Source organism: Homo sapiens, chromosome 6 (genome assembly GCF_000001405.40).
Source record: "Homo sapiens chromosome 6, GRCh38.p14 Primary Assembly".
Classification (NCBI taxonomy): domain Eukaryota; kingdom Metazoa; phylum Chordata; class Mammalia; order Primates; family Hominidae; genus Homo; species Homo sapiens.
This window is the reverse complement of record NC_000006.12, coordinates 136,833,370-136,857,715: the sequence shown is the minus strand read 5'-3', so window position 1 is coordinate 136,857,715 and position 24,346 is coordinate 136,833,370. Positions and strand designations below refer to the sequence as shown.

Here is a 24,346-nt window from a genome sequence, read left to right as displayed (position 1 = left end):
GATTTTAGAAATGAGGAATGAGGAGACAAGAGGTTTAAATGGCATGACCAAAGAAAGTCTCCTAACAGCAGGAAAGTAGAACTTGATCTGAAGCAGTCCAGCTCCAGAATCCTTGTTCCTGACCACTGTGCTATATTACCTCTCCTTAAAGAACTTCACAGTCTTCATCACTAGCTGCTTCTAGATTTTGTCTTAGCATTCCTCTTTCCTACTGGACTATATGCTCTAAGAGTGCAGGAACTCCATCTGTTGTCTTCCTCACTGAATCTCCAATAAATGATGGACATTCAATAAATATCTGACTGACTCACTAGCAGCGTCCTTCTCAACAATCAAAATGAACTCAGTATGTTTTAAAAATTTGAATAAGATGGTTACTCCCATATCTTATATAATAACTATCAAAAATATTTTCGTGTTTGGCTATGTAAGGCATTCGGCTATGTAAAAGAATACACAAGTGTTATAGGAAATGTATGAAAACAAGTGAAGCAAAGAAGATCTAAGCACTGCATTTGCTTACAAACGCATGGTACACAGCCCAGTGAGTAAATGTTCTTGTCTCTGAAATGGCTAAGGCACAGTGAGAGTTTTGCAACTTGCATTGACTTTTTACTACACCCCAACTCATTCCAATATTTTTGCAGAGTGGAAGAAGAACTTTGAATCTTTTAAAAAGTACTAAGTAGACTAATATTTGTAAATCACCACAAAGGATTATTTCAGGAAAATGGCAAATGTTTGAAAAATCAATCTTCCAATGAGTTCCCTAAGTCATAAAAATTGGTAGAAAACAGCTTTACTGTATCCATTTCACAAGGAAAGTTTTTGAAGAACATATGTTAGAGCTTACAGGTCCAGTACTTGATTTTCATCAAATCCCCTCTGATTTATCTGAAGCCTTAGATGTGCAGCCAATTTAGTGAATACTGGCCCCTTCGACTCCATCCACCTACATTCACCTAATCTGGATTCACTCTTTCCATCCTCAATCCATGTTGTTTGGGTAACACCCTCTCTCATTTTCCATTCCCAACTGCAGGGACTAACCAAGCCTAAGCCAATCAAAATATTGTATCCCCCTCACCCACACACAGTGATTAGTTCAGGAACATCCACAAGGACGCATCAGAGCCCATGACAGAAAATGAAACAGTCTGGATGTCTGAGAAGGAATCTTTCACTTTCTCCTACTGGACAGAAACCAGAAAAGAGGTAGGTGTTGGAGCTACTACTATCTTGCCATCATGTGGTGCCTGATACCCTGATTCTGAAACCAGCACAACAGAAGACAGAGCCCTACATTCAACCATGCCTATAAAGCCAGATTTAATTCTGAACTTTTCACTTATGTGAGCAAATAAGTTATCTTCTTCCTTAAAGCACTTTGGGTCAGAATTTTTTTTTTTTTTTTTTTTTTTTTTACTTTCAACCAAAGAAGTCCTGGCTGATATGACCAAGATTTATATTAATTTCTAACACAACATATGAAGGTAATGTAATGAAACAGGGGTCTTCTACAGAAGCAAACAGTCATTCTGTTGATAAAAGATCACTTTTCTACTACCCACTTACACTGTACAGATAGTTTGAAAAGTGAAGTGTTGTGATTATAGCAACACTCTAGAAACAATTCATCTTCTGTTATTCAGTCTCATACAGTGCATATTCTACAGCACTATCCAGAGTCAATGCTATGTATTCCATGCTACACAAAGACCAATGTAAAAAGAAGAGGTGTGTGACTCAGCTCAAATGAAGGGCTAATACACACAATTCTGACTGACGTCCAAAAAATGCAGCTGTATTAGTTTGTGATTTTGTCACTATCAGATTTATATTTGGTCATACGCATAAAGAGAACAATGATTAAAAACAAATCAATACCCTCTTTCCACTTTGCCAACTGGATGTATGTCTTTACTGGTCATTCCAGTGGGGCAAACGAAATATCCTTTTTAAAACTCAGGCAAACTGGGTGTTTGTCATGGTCATGTATCCTGTCAGAGAAAACAAACTGAAAACAAACAAACAAACAAAAATGCCCAAATCAAGGCAAATTTAGAACCTTAAATAGGCCGGGCACGGTGGCTCATGCCTATACTCCCAGCACTTTGGGAGGCCAAGGCAGGCGGATTACCTGAGGTCAGGAGCTTGAGACCAGCCTGGCCAACAAGGCGAAAGCCCGGCTCTACTAAAAATACAAAAATTAGCCGGGCATAGTGGCACGTGCCTGTAATCCCAGCTACTCGGGAGGCTGAGGCAGGAGAATCGCTTGAAGGTGGGAGGCGGAAGTTGCAGTGAGCTGAGATTGCACCATTGTACTCCAGCCTGGGGGACAGAGACTCCGTCTCAAAAAAAAAAAAAAGGAAGAAGAAAAAGAAAAAGAAAAGAACTTTAAATAATAACAAACATCAACAAGATTACATAAAATAGAAAGGTAAGGAATTTTTTAAGACCTATCAATTGTTCAAGGAATTGTACTTACTAATACTTTTCCAAATATACAAAATTATATTCTCATTATTAATTTTAGTTTACTGTGTATGTTGCCAATTAGAGCTCCCAGCAGGTAAGTCTTCACTGTTTCACTAGAACAGAAGCATGCTTCAGTTCCTTTTTTTTTTTTTGAGACAGTCTTGCTCTGTTGCCCAGGCTGGGGTACGGTGGCGCTATCTCGGCTCACTGCAATCTCCACTTCCCGTGTTCAAGTGATTCTCCTGCCTCAGCCTCCCAAGTAGCTGGGATTACAGGTGTGTGCCACCATGCCCGGCTAATTTTTGTATTTTTGTAGAGACAGGTTTCACCATGTTGGTTGGCCAGGCTGGTCTCAAACTCCTGTTCTCAAGTGATCCATCTGCCTCAGCTCCCAAAGTGCTGGGATTACAGATGTGAGCCACCATGCCTGGCCTCAGTTCATTTTTGAGGTGGATCTATTCTACACCACTAATTCAATCTAGAGTTTGAAATGACTCCTTTGAAACTGTAGGATATAAGGCCAAAAGGCATCCCTCCCCTAAGAAAATAATGCTAATGTCAATCTAATTCACATCCTTACAAGAACTTTAATTCGACTTGGACTAATACTCTCTGTGGTAGAATCTTTCACCAACGGTAAAATTACAAAATGGTAACAGTATAAACCAGTAAACTGAACTGTGGTCAACTTACAGATCCGATTCACTATAAGCACAAAACTCATTACCATTTATACTAAATTAAAAACACAGGCCAGGCGCAGTAGCTCACACCTGTAATCCCAACACTTTGGGAGGCCAAGGCGGGTTGATCACCTGAGGTCAGGAGTTCGAGACCAGCCTAGCCAACATGGTGAAACCCTGTCTCTACTAAAAATACAAAAATTAGCTGGGTGTGATGGCGCACACCTGTACTCAGAAGGCTGAGGCAGGAGAATTGCTTGAACCCGGGAGGCGGAGGTTGCAGTGAGCCGAGATTGTACCACTGCACTCCAGCCTGGGCGACAGAGCTAGACTCTGACTCAATAATAATAATAAAAACATAAAAGATGATTAACTCAAGTTATACATGTAAATGAAAGGGTTAATTGATTCAAATTAAATATATTAATATTGCTACCACTGACTTAATGCACACTCAGCCTTACTAACCGTAAAGGTTAACTATGTTACAGAAGGATAAAAGACCAAAGAAGGATGCAGGCTTGGGAAAGGCAACATAAGAAGAAAAAATATATTACTGGTCCCATCCCAAAAGACTTCATATATTAGAAAAGATTTAATTCAGATTATGGACAAAAAAAGCTATGACTTAGCTTAAAAATTCAAAAAATAATAGTTTATAACCTTATAAGTCGACAGTGTGTACTGCTCAACATTCTAGAAAAGAAAGCTATTAATTTTTATCAGAGAACAAAAATATTTTTTCTTAAATTAACTATGCCTCTATACATAGGCATTACTAGTATTCATTATTAGGATCTCAAAAAATTACATAATCTTTCACCTCAGTCATGCTCCCTGTAAAAAGAAAGTTGCATAATCTAAATGGATATACTTGTCTGTATATAATTTACCTGAAGGTTTCCATTTCTGAGTATTTTCAACCTAATAGTACTTTCACAATTTAGGATGGTTTGGTCATTTTTTACTTTTAAAATTAAAAATAATGAAATAAAATGGGAAAAAAGTGTGTGATATTATATTTCCTAAGAAAGCCAATCAACATAATTCAACAACTCAGGGCATTGGTATAGTTTATTAGCAAGAAAGGAACAATTATCCTACCTATTGTCTATCTTTGGATGCTGCATAACTGAAAGAGGAGACACTATTAGGAGCACCACCTCCTCCTCTAGCTAATGTCTTCTGTTCTCTACTAAACAGCCAACTGCACAAAAGAGTTTCCACTTCTTACTCTCTCCTTGAGGATTTATGCCAGAGGTCAGCAAACGTTTTCTGTCAAGGGCCACAGGCGGTAAATATTTTTGGCTTTGAGGACCTTTCAGTCTCTCTCACAACTACTCAACTCCACCACTGTAGTGTGAAAGCAACCATAAACAATATGTTAATAAACGGGCGTAGCTGCATCCCAATGAAACTATTTATAAAAACCATCAGTTTTCTACATATGGCTAGCCAGTTTTCCCAGCACCATTTATTAAATAGGGAATCCTTTCCCCATTGCTTGTTTTTCTCAGGTTTGTCAAAGATCAGATAGTTGTAGATATGTGGCATTATTTCTGAGGGCTCTGTTCTGTTCCATTGATCTATATCTCTGTTTTGGTACCAGTACCATGCTGTTTTGGTTACTGTAGCCTTGTAGTATAGTTTGAAGTCAGGTAGTGTGATGCCTCCAGCTTTGTTCTTTTGGCTTAGGATTGACTTGGCGATGCGGGCTCTTTTTTGGTTCCATATGAACTTTAAAGTAGTTTTTTCCAATTCTGTGAAGAAAGTCATTGGTAGCTTGATGGGGATGGCATTGAATCTGTAAATTACCTTGGGCAGTATGGCCATTTTCACGATATTGATTCTTCCTACCCATGAGCATGGAATGTTCTTCCATTTGTTTGTGTCCTCTTTTATTTCCTTGAGCAGTGGTTTGTAGTTCTCCTTGAAGAGGTCCTTCACATCCCTTGTAAGTTGGATTCCTAGGTATTTTATTCTCTTTGAAGCAATTGTGAATGGGAGTTCACTCATGATTTGGCTCTCTGTTTGTCTGTTGTTGGTGTATAAGAATGCTTGTGATTTTTGTACATTGATTTTGTATCCTGAGACTTTGCTGAAGTTGCTTATCAGCTTAAGGAGATTTTGGGCTGAGACGATGGGGTTTTCTAGATAAACAATCATGTCGTCTGCAAACAGGGACAATTTGACTTCCTCTTTTCCTAATTGAATACGCTTTATTTCCTTCTCCTGCCTGATTGCCCTGGCCAGAACTTCCAACACTATGTTGAATAGGAGCGGTGAGAGAGGGCATCCCTGTCTTGTGCCAGTTTTCAAAGGGAATGCTTCCAGTGCTTCCAGAAAGCTGAAACTGGATCCCTTCCTTACACCTTATACAAAAATCAATTCAAGATGGATTAAAGATTTAAACGTTAGACCTAAAACCATAAAAACCCTAGAAGAAAACCTAGGCATTACCATTCAGGACACAGGCGTGGGCAAGGACTTCATGCCCAAAACACCAAAAGCAATGGCAACAAAAGCCAAAATTGACAAATGGGATCTAATTAAACTCAAGAGCTTCTGCACAGCAAAAGAAACTACCATCAGAGTGAACAGGCAACCTACAACATGGGAGAAAATTTTCGCAACCTACTCATCTGACAAAGGGCTAATATCCAGAATCTACAATGAACTCAAACAAATTTACAAGAAAAAAACAAACAACCCCATCAAAAAGTGGGCGAAGGACATGAACAGACACTTCTCAAAAGAAGACATTTATGCAGCCAAAAAACACATGAAGAAATGCTCATCATCACTGGCCATCAGAGAAATGCAAATCAAAACCACTATGAGATATCATCTCACACCAGTTAGAATGGCAATCATTAAAAAGTCAGGAAACAACAGGTGCTGGAGAGGATGTGGAGAAATAGGAACACTTTTACACTGTTGGTGGGACTGTAAACTAGTTCAACCATTGTGGAAGTCAGTGTGGCAATTCCTCAGGGATCTAGAACTAGAAATACCATTTGACCCAGCCATCCCATTACTGGGTATATACCCAAAGGACTATAAATCATGCTGCTATAAAGACACATGCACACGTATGTTTATTGCGGCACTATTAACAATAGCAAAGACTTGGAACCAACCCAAATGTCCAACAATGATAGACTGGATTAAGAAAATGTGGCACATATACACCATGGAATACTATGCAGCCATAAAAAATGATGAGTTCATGTCCTTTGTAGGGACATGGATGAAATTGGAAACCATCATTCTCAGTAAACTATCGCAAGAACAAAAAACCAAACACCGCATATTCTCACTCATAGGTGGGAATTGAACAATGAGATCACATGGACACAGGAAGGGGAATATCACACTCTGGGGACTGTGGTGGGGTCGGGGGAGGGGGGAGGGATAGCATTGGGAGATATACCTAATGCTAGATGACACGTTAGTGGGTGCAGCGCACCAGCATGGCACATGTATACATATGTAACTAACCTGCACAATGTGCACATGTACCCTAAAACTTAGAGTATAATAAAAAAAAAAAAAATTAAAAATAAAAAAAAAATAAAAAAAAAAGACAGCAGAAATAAATATCTTTAGACAATGCAAAAAAAAAAAAAAAAAAAAACCATCAGTTTTGATCTGAGGGCAGTAGTTTGCCAACTTGTGCTCTATTCCAAGGTTTCTTTGACTTAGTCTTTCCTAGGTGCTCTGATTTACTGCAATGGCTTTAGTTACCAATTCTAAGCCAATGATACAATTTTTATTCATGAGGCCAGAGTTCTCAGCTCCAAGCTCAACCTGCTCATTGACAAGCAGATGCGTGTCTCACAGGTTCTGAAACAGTGTTGTAAAACAAAACTCAAGACCTTCTCTTTCAAACATGTATCATATCTCAGTTATAACATTACCATCCATGAATTTGTCCTTGCCAGAAATCTAGGAATTATTCTTTAGGAGTTGGAATCATTGAAAAGTAATCTGAACCACAGCTAACTCTTGTCAAGAGGTTGATGAAGTAAAGTCCTAAACATGGAAAGGAATAATCGGTACCAGCCACTGCAAAAACATGCCAAATTGTAAAGCCCATCGAGGCTAGGAAGAAACTGCATCAACTAACGAGCAAAATAACCAGCTAACATCATAATGACAGGATCAAATTCACACATAACAATATTAACCTTAAATGTAAATGGGCTAAATGCTCCAATTAAAAGACACAGACTGGCAAATTGGATAAAGAGTCAAGACCCATCAGTGGGCTGTATTCAGGAGACCCATCTCACGTGCAGAGACACATAAAGGCTCAAAATAAAGGGATGAAGGAAGATCTACCAAGCAAATGGAAAACAAAAAAAAAAGCAGAGGTTGCAATCCTAGTCTCTGATAAAACAGACTTTTTTTTTACAACAAAGATCAGAAGAGACAAAGAAGGCCATTACATAATGGTAAAGGGATCAATGCAACAAGAAGAGCTAACTATCCTAAATATATATGCACCCAATACAGGAGCACCCAGATTCATAAAGCAAGTCCTTAGAGACCTACAAAGAGACTTAGACTCCCACACAATAATAATGGGAGACTTTAACACCCCACTGTCAACATTAGACAGATCAACGAGACAGAAAGTTAACAAGGATATCCAGGAATTAAACTCAGCTCTGCACCAAGCAGACCTAACAGACATCTACAGAACTCTCCACCCCAGATCAACTGAATATACATTCTTCTCAGCACCACATCACACTTATTCCAAAACTGACCACATACTTGGAAGCAAAGCACTCCTCAGCAAATGTAAACGAACAGAAATTATAACAAACTTTCTCCCGGACCACAGTGCAATCAAACTAGAACTCAGGATTAAGAAACTCACTCAAAACCACAGAACTACATGGACACTGAACAACCCGCTCCTGAATGACTACTGGATACATAACGAAATGAAGGCAGAAATAAAGATGTTCTTTGAAACCAATGAGAACAAAGACACAACATACCAGAATCTCTGGGACACATTTAAAGCAGTGTGTAGAGGGAAATTCATAGCACTAAATGCCCACAAGAGAAAGAAGGAAAGATCTAAAATTGACACCCTAACATCACAATTAAAAGAACTAGAGAAGCAAGAGCAAACACATTCAAAAGCTAGCAGAAGGCAACAAATAACTGAGATCAGAGCAGAACTGAAGGAGATAGAGACACAAAAAACCCTTCAAAAAAATCAATGAATCCAGGAGCTGGTTTTTTGAAAAGATCAACAAAATTGATAGACCACTAGCAAGACTAATAAAGAAGAAAAGGGAGAAGAATCAAATAGACACTATAAAAAATGATAAAGGGGATATCACCACCAATCCCACAGAAATAAAAACTACCATCAGAGAATACTATAAACACCTCTATGCAAATAAACTAGAAAATCTAGAAGAAATGGATAAATTCCTTGACACATACACCCTCCCAAGACTAAACCAGGAAGAAGCTGAACCCCTGAATACACCAATAACAGGCTCTGAAATTGAGGCAATAATTAATAGCCTACCAACCAAGAAAACTCCAGAACCAGACAGATTCACAGCCGAATTCTACCAGAGGTATAAAGAGGAGCTGGTACCATTCCTTCTGAAACTATTCCAATCAATAGAACAAGACGGAATCCTCCTTAACTCATTTTATGAGGCCAGCAGCATACTGATACCAAAGCCTGGTAGAGACACAACAAAAAAAAGAGAATTTTAGACCAATATCCCTGATGAACATCAATGCAAAAATCCTCAGTAAAATACTGGCAAACTGAATCTAGCAGCACATCAAAAAGCTTATCCACCAAGATCAAGTTGGCTTCATCCCTGGGATGCAAGGCTGGTTCAACATACACAAATCAATAAATGTAATCCATCATATAAACAGAACCAAAGACAAAAACCACATGATTATCTCAACAGATGCAGAAAAGGCCTTTGACCAAATTGAACAGCCCTTCGTGCTAAAAACTCTCAATAAACTAGGTATTGATGGGATGTATCTCAAAATAATAAGAGCTATTTATGACAAACCCACAGCCAATATGATAATATTTACTGAATGGGTAAAAACTGGAAGCATTCCCTTTGAAAACTGGCACAAGATAGGGATGCCCTCTCTCACCACTCCTATTCAACATAGTGTTGGAAGTTCTGGCCAGGGCAATTAGGCAGGAGAAAGAAATAAAGGGTATTCAATTAGGAAAAGAGGAAGTCAAATTGTCCCTGTTTGCAGATGACATGATTGTGTATTTAGAAAACCCCACCGTCTCAGCCCAAAATCTCAAGCTGATAAGCAGCTTCAGCAAAGTCTCAGGATACAAAATCAATGTGCAAGAATCACAAGCATTCCTATACACCAATAACAGACAAAAAGAGAGCCAAATCATGAGTGAACTCCCATTCACAATTGCTACAAAGGGAATAAAATACCTAGGAATCCAACTTACAAGGGATGTGAAGGACCTCTTCAAGGAGAACTACAAACCACTCCTCAACGAAATAAAAGAGGACACAAACAAATGGAAAAACATTCTATGCTTATTGATAGGAAGAATCAATATCGTGAAAATGGCCATACTGCCCAAGGTAATTTATAGATTCAATGCCATCCCCATCAAGCTGCCAATGACTTTCTTCACAGAATTGGAAAAAACTATTTTAAAGTTCCTATGGAACCAAAAAAGAGCCCACATTGCCAAGACAATCCTAGGCCAAAAGAACAAAGCTGGAGGCATCAAGCTACCTGACTTCAAACTATACTACAAGGCTACAGTAATCAAAACAGCATGGTACTGGTACCAAAACAGAGATCTAGACCAATGGAACAGAACAGAGCCCTCAGAAATAATGCCGCATATCTACAACTATCTGATCTTTGACAAACCTGAGAAAAACAAGCAATGGGGAAAGGATTCCCTATTTAATAAATGGTGCTGGGAAAACTGGCTAGCCATATGTAGAAAGCTGAAACTGGATCCCTTCCTTACACCTTATACAAAAATTAATTCAAGATGGATTAAAGACTTACATGTTAGACCTAAAACCATAAAAACCCTAGAAGAAAACCTAGGCAATACCATTCAGGACATAGGCATGGGCAAGGATTTCATGTCTAAAACACCAAAAGCAATGGCAACAAAAGCCAAAATTGACAAATGGGATCTAATTAAACTAAAGAGCTTCTGCACAGCAAAAGAAACTACCATCAGAGTGAACAGGCAACCTACGAAATGGGAGAAAATTTCTGCAATCTACTCATCTGACAAAAGGCTAATATCCAGAATCTACAAAAAACTTAAAAACAAATTTACAAGAAAAAATCAAACAACCCCATCAAAAAGTGGGCAAAGGATATGAACAGACACTTCTCAAAAGAAGACATTTATGCAGCCAACAGACACATGAAAAAATGCTCATCATCACTGGCCTTCAGAGAAATGCAAATCAAAACCACAATGAGATACCATCTCACGCCAGTTAGAATGGCGATCATCAAAAAGTCAGGAAACAACAGGTGCTGGAGAGGATGTGGAGAAATAGGAACACTTTTATACTGTTGGTGGGACTGTAAACTAGTTCAACCATTGTGGAAGACAGTGTGGCGATTCCTCAAGGATCTAGAACTAGAAATACCATTTGACCCAGCCATTCCATTTACTGGATATATACCCAAAGATTATAAATCATGCTGCTATAAAGACATGCATATGTATGTTTACTGCGGCGCTATGCACAATAACAAAGACTTGGAACCAACCCAAATGTCCAACAATGATAGACTGGATCAAGAAAATGTGGCACATATACACCATGGAATACTATGCAGCCATAAAAAAGGATGAGTTCATGTCCTTTGTAGGGACATGGACAAAGCTGGAAACCATCATTCTGAGCAAACTATTCCAAGGACAGAAAACCAAACACCGCATGTTCTCACTCATAGGTGGGAAGTGAACAATGAGAACACTTGGACACAGGATGGGGAACATCACACACCGGGGCCTGTCATGGGGTGGGGGAAGGGGGGAGAGATAGCATTAGGAGATATATCCAATGTAAATGATGAGTTAATGGGTGCAGCACACCAACATGGCACACATGCACACACATGTAACAAACCCGCACGTTGTGCACATGTACCCTAGAACTTAAAGTATAATAATAAAAATAAAAAAATAAAAATAAAAAAAGAAGTAAAGTCTTAAGAACACAAAAGAATAGTAATATTCTCCTGTTTTCTCTCTGAAGCTAAGGTACACAGCGCCACCTAATGGTAAAAACAAGGCCACCATTCACTACAAGTAAGGCTTTTGGTAAATACAGAATAATTTACCTGAGGCTGAAGCAAAACAACCAGGGATGTGGGGAGACCAGATTGTGCTATAAATAATACTTTCATGGCCTCTAAAGGTGCACAGAGACTTTCCAACAGTTGGATCCCACTACAAATAAATGAATAGATCAATTACTTGAGGGATAAATTCAAATTTATGCTTTTACATATACTACATACACCAATAAACTATATACATTTATATATATGCATACAATATATATACAGATCTCAAGGATTTTTAAAGATCTGTTTTGATATAAAGCAAGACTGTATTTAAGGGCCAAACTAATGCTGAGCTAACTATTAGTTCACAGCCAAAAGATTAGAAAATTTTAAGTTCTAATAAGTGTTTTAATTTTTTTTTTAAAAGAAAGCTCAGCTGTCGAATCATAGAGCTACAGAAGTATGTTGGAAAAAGAGAAGAAAATTTAGTGGAAGCTCTAGAGAAGGGAATATTCGTTTTTGAATACAATAATGCTAACATACCAATTTGACAGTTTGATCCCATGAGCCAGACACCACAAGCTGTTCACCTCTGGTTTGGCTCCAATCAACACTATACACCTAAAAACATTGAAAAGTGTTTAGAAAGCAAAAGACCATCAAGTTCAACATTGCATTTTATCTCTTGTTACATAACAATGAGAGGCAGAACAACTAATTTACTATGTCAAAACATCAAATAATTCCTATCCATCTCAACAAGGTGTCTGAGAAATGAAAAGTTGATCTTGTCCATTCCTCCAGACTTATTCCTTACAGATAAGACTCCATTCTGCTTTCACAGAATTCTACAGTATACTTCCAAACCTTCTTCACTAAAACAAATTATACATATTTTAAAACCTACCAACAAATCACTGTTTGCAGCCCCACGAAGAAATGTCAAAGCAGATTAGAAAGTTAGTCATCTAAAAAAGCTTGCTGGGTCAATGTTTATTGGAAAGCATTAAAATTCAATTAATATCCCTATCTGGCCTTTCTTAGAAAAAGCTTGCAGGAACCAGGTGATCCTTCCAGATCTCTTGGTAAACAGTTTTAGTTATCCAATGCTGCTATTCTAAAGTATATGCTTCACTGCTCTCAGTGAACCATTTCAAATGAACTACTTGAAAACTTTTGGAAATGTTTTCATTCTTTCATTTTATACAACAGATTATACACAGATCACTGCTGTAAACTAAGTTCAACAAAATATGTGCATAATTATACTTTATGAAATTAGTCCTGACAAGGACCTGAGTATATGCCATTGGTATATCACATTGGTGATCAGCCAGCAGGTTACTTTGAATCTTACTACTCTCTCCCACATATACGTAGGAAGTATGAGTATCTGGGCTTAAGCCGCTTACATGTGGGTTACTTTCTCTCTGCTGCCCAGTACTATATTGAGCCATGTTGGAGGCTGAGGAAAAAAAACATCAGTAATACTGATCCCGTCACTTATAGGTGGAATCTAAAAAAGTCAAACTTAGAGAAACATACAGTAGAGTAGTGTTTGCCAGGGGCTGGGGGTGGGGGAAATGGGGATATGTTGGTCAAAGGATACAAACTTTTAGTTATAAGATGAATAATTTCTAGAGATTCAATGTACACCATGGTAACTATTATAAATAATAATGTATTACTGAATACTTGAAATTTGCTGAGAGTAGATCTGAAATGTTCTTATCTCACACACAAGAAAATGGTAACCATTCAAGTGATGGATATGTTAATTAGCTTGACTGTAGGAATCATTACTCAAGATATATTTAGATCAAAACCCTAAGCTGTACAACTTAGATTTTTCTTTTTTTTTTTCCAAAACAGGGTCTTGCGCAGTCGCCCAGGCTGGAGTGCAGTGGGCACAATCTCAGCTCACTGCAGCGATGACCTCCTGGGCTCAAGCGGTCCTCCCACACCTCAGCCTCCTAAGTAGCTGGAGTCACGCTTGCGTGCCACCACACCCAGCTAATTTTTTTCTTATTTTCTGTAGAGACAGTGTCTCACCATGTTCCCCAGGCTGGTCTCAAACTCCTAGGCTCAAGCAGTCCTACCGCCTCAGCCTCCCAAAGTGCTAGGTTTACAGGCATGAGCCACCGTGCCCAGCCTACAAATTTTTATTTGCCAATCATAATAAACCTGGAAAAAAGTTTAATAAAATTAATATTAAGCTTCAAAAAAAGTAAAATATCGATATTTTGTTCATAATGGGTTTTTTGCATTAATTTTTATTTTTAAAAACATTAACAAATTATCTTGATTATCAAGTTTTTTGGGGCCCCCTTAAATTGTGTACCTAGAGTGAGTGCCTCACACATTCTACCCTAGTCCTGGCCCTGCCTCTGCCCATATTCACGCAAAAGACAGAAGAGTAGTTGGAACACTAAAGGAAGCACAATCCAGCAACAGACAGCAGCTATAAAAGGAATAGAAGGGCCAGTGAAAACCAAAGAGCTGCTGTGGCCATCTGTTAGTTATGGATAGAAAAAAGGCTGGTTTGGAAGCAATCACTGAAGATCTTGAGAGCTAAAGAGTTTGATTTTATCCTCTAAATTTCGCCTACAAAGGACCATATAGTAAATGGTAAGTTTCTTCAAAAAAGGTACATTTCTTCTATAAAGGGCCATATGGTAAATACTTTAGATTTTACAGGCTATTTGGTCACTGTCACAACTACTAAACCCAGCTCTTATAGCACACACCAAGCAGCCATAGTCAATACCGAATGAATGCGCATGGCTTGATTCCAAAAAAACTTTATTTGTAAATCTAACTGCAGGCCAGATTTGGTCCTGGTCCACATGACGTAGTTTGCCAACCCCTGCTCTAGGCTGATGTAAACAGTCAAAAATAAAAATAGCAAACCTTTATTGAACACTCTGAGTGTCAGATCCTGTTCATAAGCACTTTATGTATTTTATTTCATTTAATCTTCATTTATATGAAGTAGATACTATATCAAGGCCCAGAGAGGTTAAGTAACTTGTCCAGAGTCCCAAAGCTAGTAAGGTGCAGATATGAAATCTGAACGTGGGCAGCCTAATTGCAGAGTCCACTTTTAATCGCAATGTGAGGCTATCTGTACAGCATGCTACTTGAGGGCACTGTTGAATCAGAACTTCTTGGCTACCTTAAGCCATGATATCAAGGAACTAAAGCTCTACCCCTGCTGGTTTCACCCTTTACTGGAGCTACATTTGGGCCTAGATTGATTCCACTGTGTTTTCATGAATTACCTATACACAGATCTTAAAGCCCCTCTCCACTTGTGAATTTCCATTTATCCATCAAGACGTGCCCCATTACATCCCTTACGAAATAAGCCTCCCCTGATAAGTCCTTCAATGAGTCATATGCTGCCTTCAACAGCAGCTCACACCTACTTCTAACTCAGCATTTACCATATTTTATTTACTAAAAAGAATGTTACATAACTCACATACCTGCTAGATTTTGGAGACTCCTAATGAGCAAAACATCTTGTACATCTATGTTCATCACAGTAAAATAGGCACTCAAACATTGGTTAAAATAATTTAACCAATTAAATTTTTCTTTACAACCTGAATCACTGCTAGGTAGGTACAGAGAACTACTAAGTAAATACTCATCATCAGCTCAGACTCCACTGCCTCCACACATTTCCAGTGTGATGCAGCAGGTGACACCTTATGACTACTCACCTTCTAAAACTGCAGGAGCCTCCACCGGCTCAAGAGAATCCAGCCTGAATCAACATCAAAGATAGAAGGTAAGAAAACCATGCTGATGGCATTGTTGCTGTCAGCTGTCTTCTGTTGCACAACCAAGTAGCAAGCATTAGGTCTCTATGACAGAGCTAAAGATAGGACACACATGGTGGTGAAGTTAAAAATGGGATCATAAAGAAGGAAATAGGCTGAGTGTGGTGGCTCACGCCTGTAATCCCAGCACTTTGGGAGGCCAAGGCGGGCAGGTCACTTGAGGCCAGGAGTTCAAGACCAGCCTGGCCAACATGGTGAAACCCCGTCTCTACTAAACATATAAAATTTAGCCAGGTGTGATGGCAGGCACCTGCAGTCTCAGCTACTCAGGAGGCTGAGGCAGGAGAATCGCTCCCAGGAGGTGGAGGTTGTAGTGAGCCAAGATTGTGCCACTGCACTTTAAGCTGGGTGACAGAGTGAGAACCTGTCTCAAAAAAAAAAAAAAGAAAAAGAAAAGAAAGGCAACTCAATACTATGTTTAAAATATTAGGACATGGGAAAGGAACTAACAGATCAGGAGACTGTGTGGGTTTTTTTTTTTAATTTAAAAAAAGAGTAATTACACCAGGCACGGTGGCTCATGCCTGTAATCCCAGCACTTTGGGAGGCCGAGGCAGGAGGACCGCTTGAGGCCACGAGTTCGAGACCAGCCTGGAAAATATGGCGAGACCCCCGTCTCTATAAAAAATTTTAAAAATTAGCCAGGTGTGGTGACCTATAACAGTAGTCCCAGCTACCCAGGAGGCTGGGGTGGGAGGATGGCTTGAGCCCACAAGGTCAAGGTCAAGACAGCAGTGAGCAGTGATCACGCCACTGCATTCCAGCCTGGGTAGCAGAGAAAGACCTTGTCTCAAAAACAAAACAAAACAAACTATAAACATAAGTACAAAAGGGGTGCTTGGATGGAAATTCAGCTTCGTGCTCAGAAGAGAAAGACTGAGGCAGGGCCCTGAGGGCTGGCTAAAATGTCAATAGGCAAAAAGCAGAGGTGAAACAGTAACCAGAAAACTTCCTCAAACACATAAATGGGAATATACAGCACCCTAGGGATCGGGGGTAGTGAACACTGCAAGATAACACCAAGGTTTTGTGCCTGAGGACTGTCAGTGATGGCAGCATTAACAAAAGTGAAAGACTGGAGGAAGGAAAATAATGTAATTTTATATATACTGAGTTTGAGGTGACAGCAAGACAGGGTTTGGGCATTAACCTCAAGCTCTGAAAAAAGTTCACAGCCAGAGAGATGTTTGAGAAACAGCTGAAAAGGGAAGAATGAATTCCATTATCCCAACTTCAATCAATTCACTCATCTATTCAACAAATATTTATTGAGCACCTACTATGTACTAGGCACGGGGGGAAAGGAGGTTACAATTTTAGATAAGACCAGCCCCCATGGATCTTATATTTTAGCAGCAGCAAACATGCTATAAATAAATGTATAATTTCAAGTTGCAATTTTTTTAAAAACTACAAAGAAAAAGCAGAGTAAGGAGAACAGAAAATAATGACAAGGGCAGGGGGTCACTTCTCAACAAAATGGCCAGGAAAGACCTCTCTGTGCAGAGACTTGAGTGCAGTTAAAGACTGAACTCTGCAGACCCGAGATGAAAGGCTCAGGTTACAGAGAACAGGGAAAGACCTTAACAGGGAACAAGCTTGCCAGATTCAGGGAAGAGCAAGGTTGAATAGCTGGGAGGGATAAGATCCTAAAGGGCTATGGCTAAGAATTTGTCTATGATTTCTCTTAAGAGGTTACAACCATCAACCATAAGTTACCACTTAGATTATAACATCCTTCTAACTGCTCTCCCCATCCATTTTTGTTTACCTCCAATCCATTATCCACACTGCATAAAAAGTAATCTTTAGAAAATACAAATTAAATGTCACTCCCCTGTGCAAAGCCTTTCAGTGGTTTCACACTATATGTAGCTCCAACTTAGCATCTTCGCTCAACATTATGTGAGATTCATCCATGCTGATTCTTACTACCCAAAGGTCAAAATCATGCAAAACTATGCATGACTTAGGGATGCATACATATGTAGTAAAAATAGAAAGAAAAGCAAAAAATATATAAATAGAAAATTCAGGCTAGTGGTTACTCCTGGGAAGAAGCGAGGAAGAAAAAAAAGCAGAGAGAAGAACGATAAGACTAGAAAGGGTAAGCAGGGGACGCTAATGGTATAGGTAATGTTTCATTTCTTAAGCTAGATGGTGAATATGTGTGTTCAATATACCATTTTTACATCTTACATGTATTTTATAATGTATAAAATATTTCATTGATTTTTAAAATCTGCAATGTCTTTCCACTGATCTTGGCACAATGGCCAAAACGCTGACAGCTCTAAGCACACAGGCTCTATCCTCTCTGGTCAAGCATGCTCTTTCATTTGCCTCTAACACTACTACCCTGGCCTCTCCACTTGAATAATTCATTCCAACTTCCCCTTTAGACCAAAGGATGCCCTCCCTGCCCCTTCCCCAGACAAATCCTCCCTTCCCATAACACTGCATACATTCACAGCGCTTACCACATTAGACATTAGACAACCAGAATCCTGCCTCCCCAGACAGTGCAAGGACCCCAGGAGGGTAAGGGCATGCCTAAGGTGTTTTGTCTTCCCAGCTAGCCTGGTACAGTATCTTGCACACAGTAGAGTTAATAAAAGTTTCTGGAATGAATGAAGGAAAAGAGAAACAAATCTGAATGAAAAGCACATCTTCTATTAGTCTCCTCTTCCATCTCTTCCTTATTCCCAACCTCCCCGTCCACACCCACTCAAATAGTGGGCATGGCAAATGGTCAAATTAAATATAAAAAGGAAGAGAGATATGCAGTGCCTGACTTTATGCTTTAAGAGCAGGGTCCTCTAGAGGCCTATCTGATTAAATTACTCTTGGCAGTGGTGAAGAAAATTAACCAGGAAAATGGGAAAAGAAAAAAACCCACCGCACAATGTTTTGTGCTGCTTTATGAAATCTGAACCTCATCAAAACCACAGTTTGAGAGGACAAATTTTATTACTGAAACCAATTCCCAAAGAGCTCATATTTAATCTACTGTAAAGCATTGCCCTTTTTAAGTTGGTCTACTTAATTAAAAATTGTCAAATAAAAAACTATGTCCAGAATTTTTATTATTATCTGTATGAATACAAAGGAAAGGGTCACTGACTTTTAATTACTGAGTGATTAGAAAGGGCTATATATTTCTTTTAAGGTGAAACTTAAATTTTCTCTTTTTTTTCTCTTTTGAGACAGGATCTCACTCTGTTACCCAGGCTGGAGTGCAGTGCCACGAACGAGCACAGCTCACTGCAGCCTCCACCTTCTGGGCTCAATTGATCCTCCCACCTCAACCTCCCGGGTAGCTGGGACCACAGGTGCACACCACAACACCAGCTAATTTTTTAATTTTTTGTAGAGACAGGGTTTTACCATGTTACCCAGGCTGGTCTCTAAATCCTGGGCTCATGTAATCCCCCTGCCTAGGCCTTCCAAAGTGCTGGAATTACATGCATGAGCCACCATACCCAGCCCTGAAACTTAAATTTTCAGGTTTTTTCATTACGGAAATTTTAAAACATGCATAAAAGTAGAGAGAATAGTATAATAAACCCCCAGGCACCCATTACACACCTTCCATAATAATCAACATGTTGCCCATCATGTTTCTTCTGTCCCATTACTGACTGAATGACTGACTGCTGGAGTATTCTAACATCAGACCTTTTATTCCTAAATACTTCAGCAGGTAAGGCTGGTTTATCTTTTTTTACATAAGCACAGGCCAATTTCACCCCAACAAGATTAACAATGGCTACTTAATATCATTTAACACTCAGTCCTTATTCATATTTCCCTGACTGTCCCAAAAATGTTTCTTTTACAGTCGGCTTATTTGAATCAGTACCCAAACAAGACCCACATTTTACACTTAGCTGTTATGTCTCTTAAGTATCCTCTAAGCTAGGACAGTCCTCCTCCTGACACCTTGCTCTTTCTGCCCCACATCCCATAACATTTACTTGTTGAAAAAACCAAGTTATTGGTCTTGTAGAATGTCTTGCCTTCTGGATTATCCCAAATGTTTCCTCATGGTGGTAATTAACTTTTTTCTCTACCCTTCCAATTTCCTTTAAATTAGAAGTTAGATCTGGAGGCTTAATCAGATTCAGTTCATGTTTTTTAGCTTCCAATTATATTAGGAGGCATATAATTTCTGGTTGACCCACTTTTAGTGATCCTAAGATTGTTCACAGAATGTTTCAATCTTAAACTAATGGTTTTAGCATCCACATGATCCCTGCCTAATCATTATTTCATTACGGGCTACTAAATAGTGATTTTCTAATTCTGTTATTCCTTCTGCATTTATTAGCTAGAACTCTATTAGCAAGAACTTTTCTTATCAACTATTTTATAATACCACAATAAAACTCATACAAGAAAGGGAAAGTAAATGCACTGATTCTTTACTTTTGTTTATCAATTTTCAGAATAATGAGCTGGATGTCCTAATAATCTTCAATGGTGACTACATTTTTCCTAATCACAACTCCATCTCCACGTAAGGACTGAAAATACATGTACGTGTGTGTGTGTGTGTGTGTGTGTGTGTGTGTGGCGTTTAAATTCATTGCTTTCATTCTTTTGGTTGTTCCAATAGTCTCATCTTCGGCCAGTGAGAGTCCCTTCAAGTTGTACCTTCTAAACCTTTGATATGTCTCCAGCGGCCTTTCATAGCTTTCCTGCTTTCTGACACAAGAAGATATCTTGCATTCCTGCTCAGCTCTGGAATAAATGACTTCTCCAAAGACACTATTCCTGTTAGTGGCAAACAGTATTTAGAGGCCATACTCAGGGCACTAAGAATATTCACTGCTACTCAGTTGTCACTGCTTCTAAATCTTTACTGTGCAAAAAACAAAGAAATATGTACTTTTTTTAGACAGAGAAAAATAAATCACAAGTTTATATAACTATTCCCCATTTAACTTTAAGATCGCTTCTACTTCTTTATTCTCATAACGCTTTTCTCTCACTTTAAAACTTTCAGTTTCTTTTTTTTTTTTTTGTGACAGACTCTCACTCTGTCGCCCAGGCTGGAGTGCAGTGGCGCGATCTTGGCGCACTGCAAGCTCCACCTCCCAGGTTCACGCCATTCTCCCGCCTCAGCCTCCCGAGCAGCTGAACTACAGAGGCCGCCACCACACCCGGCTAATTTTTTAAAATATTTTTTAGTAGATACAGGGTTTCACCGTGTTAGCCAGGATGGTCTCAATCTCCTGACCCTGTGATCCGCCCACCTCAGCCTCCCAAAGTGCTGGGATTACAGGCGTAAGCGCGGCTAAAACTTTCAGTTTCTAATGACATAATTACTGATATGCCTTATCCTACAAGGTACATATGAGTTTCAAAGTAACAATGTTAATTTTTTTGAATGCAGTTTCAAATTTCTTTCCAATTCTTTGTTTTTGTTTCTTGTGACAAGAGTCTCACTCTGTTGCCCAGGCTGGAGTGCAGTGGCATGATTTCACTCACTGCAAACTCTGCCTCCCGGGTTCAAGCGATTCTCCTGCCTCAGCCTCCTAAGTAGCCGAGATTACAGATGTTCACCACCACACCCGGCTAATTTTTGTATTTTTAGTAGAGATGGGGTTTCAACATGTTGGCCAGGCTGGTCTCGAACTCCTGGCCTCAAGTGACCCATTCGCCTTGATCTCCCAAAGTGCTGGGATTACAGGCGTGAACCACTATGCCCAGGCCTAATTATTTTTGTTCATTAGACTGATCTTATTAGGAATGTATAATCACAATACTGGGTTTTTAAAGTCACTTGAATAATTATTTTCAATACCTAGTTATGGCACCAATTTGATAGATCTTTAGATTAATGTGCTTGTTTTCAATTTTTAGCAATTGCTTTTTCTTTCCAACTTATTAACATATTGGGATTCTTAATTACATAAAACATTTCAATGGTTCCAAGGTCAAAACTATAATACAAGTTATATCTGAAGAAATCTTATTTCCATTCTGGTCCCCCTTCCCCTGCTTTCTACCTTACCCCCTCTTTCAAGGTAACCATTTTTATTAGTTTTTGAATTATTTTTCCATTGTTTCTTTTTGAAATGTATATACACTATATATATTTATAATATATAACAGCTATAGTTAAATATATATGCTTCTATTCCTCTCTTTATGTAAAACAAATTTTACATATATTTACATAGCTCTACCAATAATTTCACCTCATATTAGCTTGCAGCAAAACTAATTTCCAGTTTCATATAAGTTCTCAAATAAGATTGCATAATTCTCCTACATATGCTTTTTAATAGATTCTAAAATCAGAGATGGGGATTTTAATTTCTATCTACAATTCACTCACTAACTCACTTCAGAGACATGCATAGTGTTGACACCTACACTGTGTGTATGAGAGAGACTACAGATATAGTAGCAGCAGTCATGCTTCAAAGTCCTTCTCTATCTGAACATATTCTATTATAGTTTCCATCTATTTAAAACTATCATTTTCTCTTCTTTAAAAAATTTTAGAAACTTTGAGGTTAGATAATGGGTTGGGAATAATGATTTTGCAAGGTAAATCAAATCGCTCCTTTTATTAAAGGTTTTTTAAATCTATATTTTGAATATTGCAATCTCCAAATTACTAGATAACACACTTACGAAGGTCATTAGAATTGAACACTTACCAAGTCAAGGCAGTGGCTTCCAAACAATGCTGCACATTGAAATCATCTGGGAATCTTTAAATAATACTGATGTCTGGCTCCAGCCCCAGACACTGTGACCTGGGCATGAAGATATTTTAAAGCTCCTGGCTGGATGCAGTGGCTCACGCCTGTAATCCTAGCACTTTGGGAGGACGAGTCAGGCGGATCACAAGGTCAGGAGTTCGAGACCAGCCTGGCCAACATGGTGAAATCCTGTCTCTACTAAAAATACAAAAATCAGCCAAGCACGGTGGCACACACCTATAATCTGAGCTACTCAAGAGGCTGAGGCAGGAGAATTGCTTGAACCCGGGAGGTGGAAGTTGCAGTGAGCTGAGAACATGCCACTGCACTCCAGCCTGGGCAAGACAGGAAGACTTTGTCTCAAAAAAAAAAAAGAAAAAAAAATTTTTGTAAGCTCCCAAAGTGATGCTAATCTGCTGCAAAGTTTAAGAACCACAGACTTAAGGCTAGGGACAGTGGCTCAAGCCTGTAATCCCAACACTTTGGGAGGCTGAGGCGGCCAGAACACCTCAGGTCAGGAGTTCAAGACCAGCCTGACCAACACGTTGAAACCCCATCTCTACTAAAAATACAAAATTAGTCATGCCTGTTAGCCCAGATACTTGGGAGAGTGAGGCAGGACAATCACTTGAACCTGGGAGGCGGAGGTTGCAGTGGGCCAAGATTGCACCATTGCACTCCAGCCTGGGCAACAAGAGTGAACCTCCATCTCAAAAAAAAACAAAAAACAAAAAACTAAAGAGTTAAGACAAGCCTTTGCACACCTTTTTTATGTTAAGTATTAAAATTCCAAATGCCTGAATTGTAGTCTAGTCCTACCTAACAGCTAATACTTAAAGAAGCAGATTAAGTAGAAAATGGCTAATACTTACCTATACATGTATGTCCTGTTTTCTGCCCACAGTGTGTGGCCCAAAATCTACACAATCCATCTTTCTCCTGAATTTTCAAAGCATAAAGTCCAACCCCCACCATCCAGGTATTCAAGGCCCATTAGGATATGATCCTTACCCACCTCCATTACACCATCTCCTAGTACACACACTCTATGCTCCAGGCACATCAAAGGACATCTGGTTGTGTGGACATGCCACGCTCTTTCACAAATCTTAACTTTTGTAGAGGCTCTTCTCCATCAGAAATGTCCTTTTCAGTTGGGTGTGGTGGCTCATGCCTATAATCCCAGGACTTTGGGAGGCCAAGGCAAGTGGATTGCTTGAGCCCAAGTGTTCCAGACCAGCCTGGGCAACATGGAGAAACCCCATCTCTACAAAAAATTCAAAAATTAGCCAGGCATGGTGGCAAGCGCCTATAGTCCCAGCTACTTAGGAGGCTGAAGCAGGAGGATTGCTCGAGCTCAGGAGGCCAGAGGATTGCTTGCCTCAGGAGTCAGAGGTTGCAGTGAACTGAGATTGTGCCACTGCAGTCTGCCTGGGCAACAGAGTGAGACTCCATCTCAAGATAAAAACAAAACAAAAAATGTCCCTTTCCCTTAGGGCTACCTAGCAAACTACTAAAAACTACTAACTACCCAAGACTCAGGTCAAATAGCAACTCTTCTGTGGCAGTCCCTGGTTCTCCTCTCTGTGTACCTTCTAGATACCTCTTTTCAATATCTATCATGTTGTACGGAATGGTTGTTTTTTTTGTTGTTGTTGTTTTTTAATTTACGTGGGACCCTAAATGGTTTGTCTGCATGTCCCAAACTACAATCAGAGAACAGCACATGAGTCTTATTTATACCTACATCTTCAATGACTGGCACATGCCTGGCATATAATATGTGCTACAAGTAGAGACAGGTCTGCCTTTTTTAATACAAGTCTAAACTTTAAAATATAAAACAAAGCCAAAAGAAGGTAAATGCTTTTAAAACATGAGAATTGAAAAGTGATGACATATCACATCCTAATGGCAGTAAAATCCAAAAAGGGAGAATTGATTCAAGTGACATCTAACTAGAAACTATTTTTCTGTACAATCACAATCTTTACAGGGAAAAGCTTTAAATGGCTATTATCAATTGTAATAAAATCTTACTGCAGTAACCTATTCCAAAATGAATGGCTGGGCATGACTAAATATGCAAAAAGAAATATATCAAGTCCAACTATTTCCTCAATTTTTAAAAAAGAAACAGGATGCAAAGAAAAAAATGCCTTCAGTTGATAAATGTGTTGTGTAGTCTTAAACATAAATGCATTTCTGAAGAAAACACACTAGTTTTAAATGCAGGACTGGTTGTCATTCTGCATTAATATTTTTTATTGGCACCTGATACGGATCTCATCTTGAATTG

General features: G+C 39.0%; 1 protein-coding gene and 1 non-coding gene across 5 annotated transcripts in view; one reads left to right on the top strand and one right to left on the bottom strand.

Moving 5' to 3' along the window:
• The window catches only part of PEX7 (peroxisomal biogenesis factor 7), a 91,343-nt gene that overhangs the window by 56,219 nt on the left and 10,778 nt on the right, over positions 1 to 24,346 (bottom strand). For 3 of the 4 annotated variants that reach the window (NM_000288.4, XM_047418874.1, NM_001410945.1), the window contains exons 4-5: positions 12,024 to 12,101; positions 11,535 to 11,643 (exon numbers count right to left, since the gene is read on the bottom strand). The exons of the other annotated variant lie outside the window; for it this stretch is intronic. In NM_000288.4, coding sequence (NP_000279.1) covers positions 11,535 to 11,643; positions 12,024 to 12,101 — 187 coding nt within the window. The remainder of the gene's footprint in view (positions 1 to 11,534; positions 11,644 to 12,023; positions 12,102 to 24,346) is intronic. 4 annotated transcript variants of the gene reach the window in all.
• LOC124900226 (small nucleolar RNA SNORA27) lies at positions 1,885 to 2,018 on the top strand. Its single transcript, XR_007059953.1, has one exon. It is a non-coding gene; the product is annotated as a small nucleolar RNA SNORA27 (small nucleolar RNA).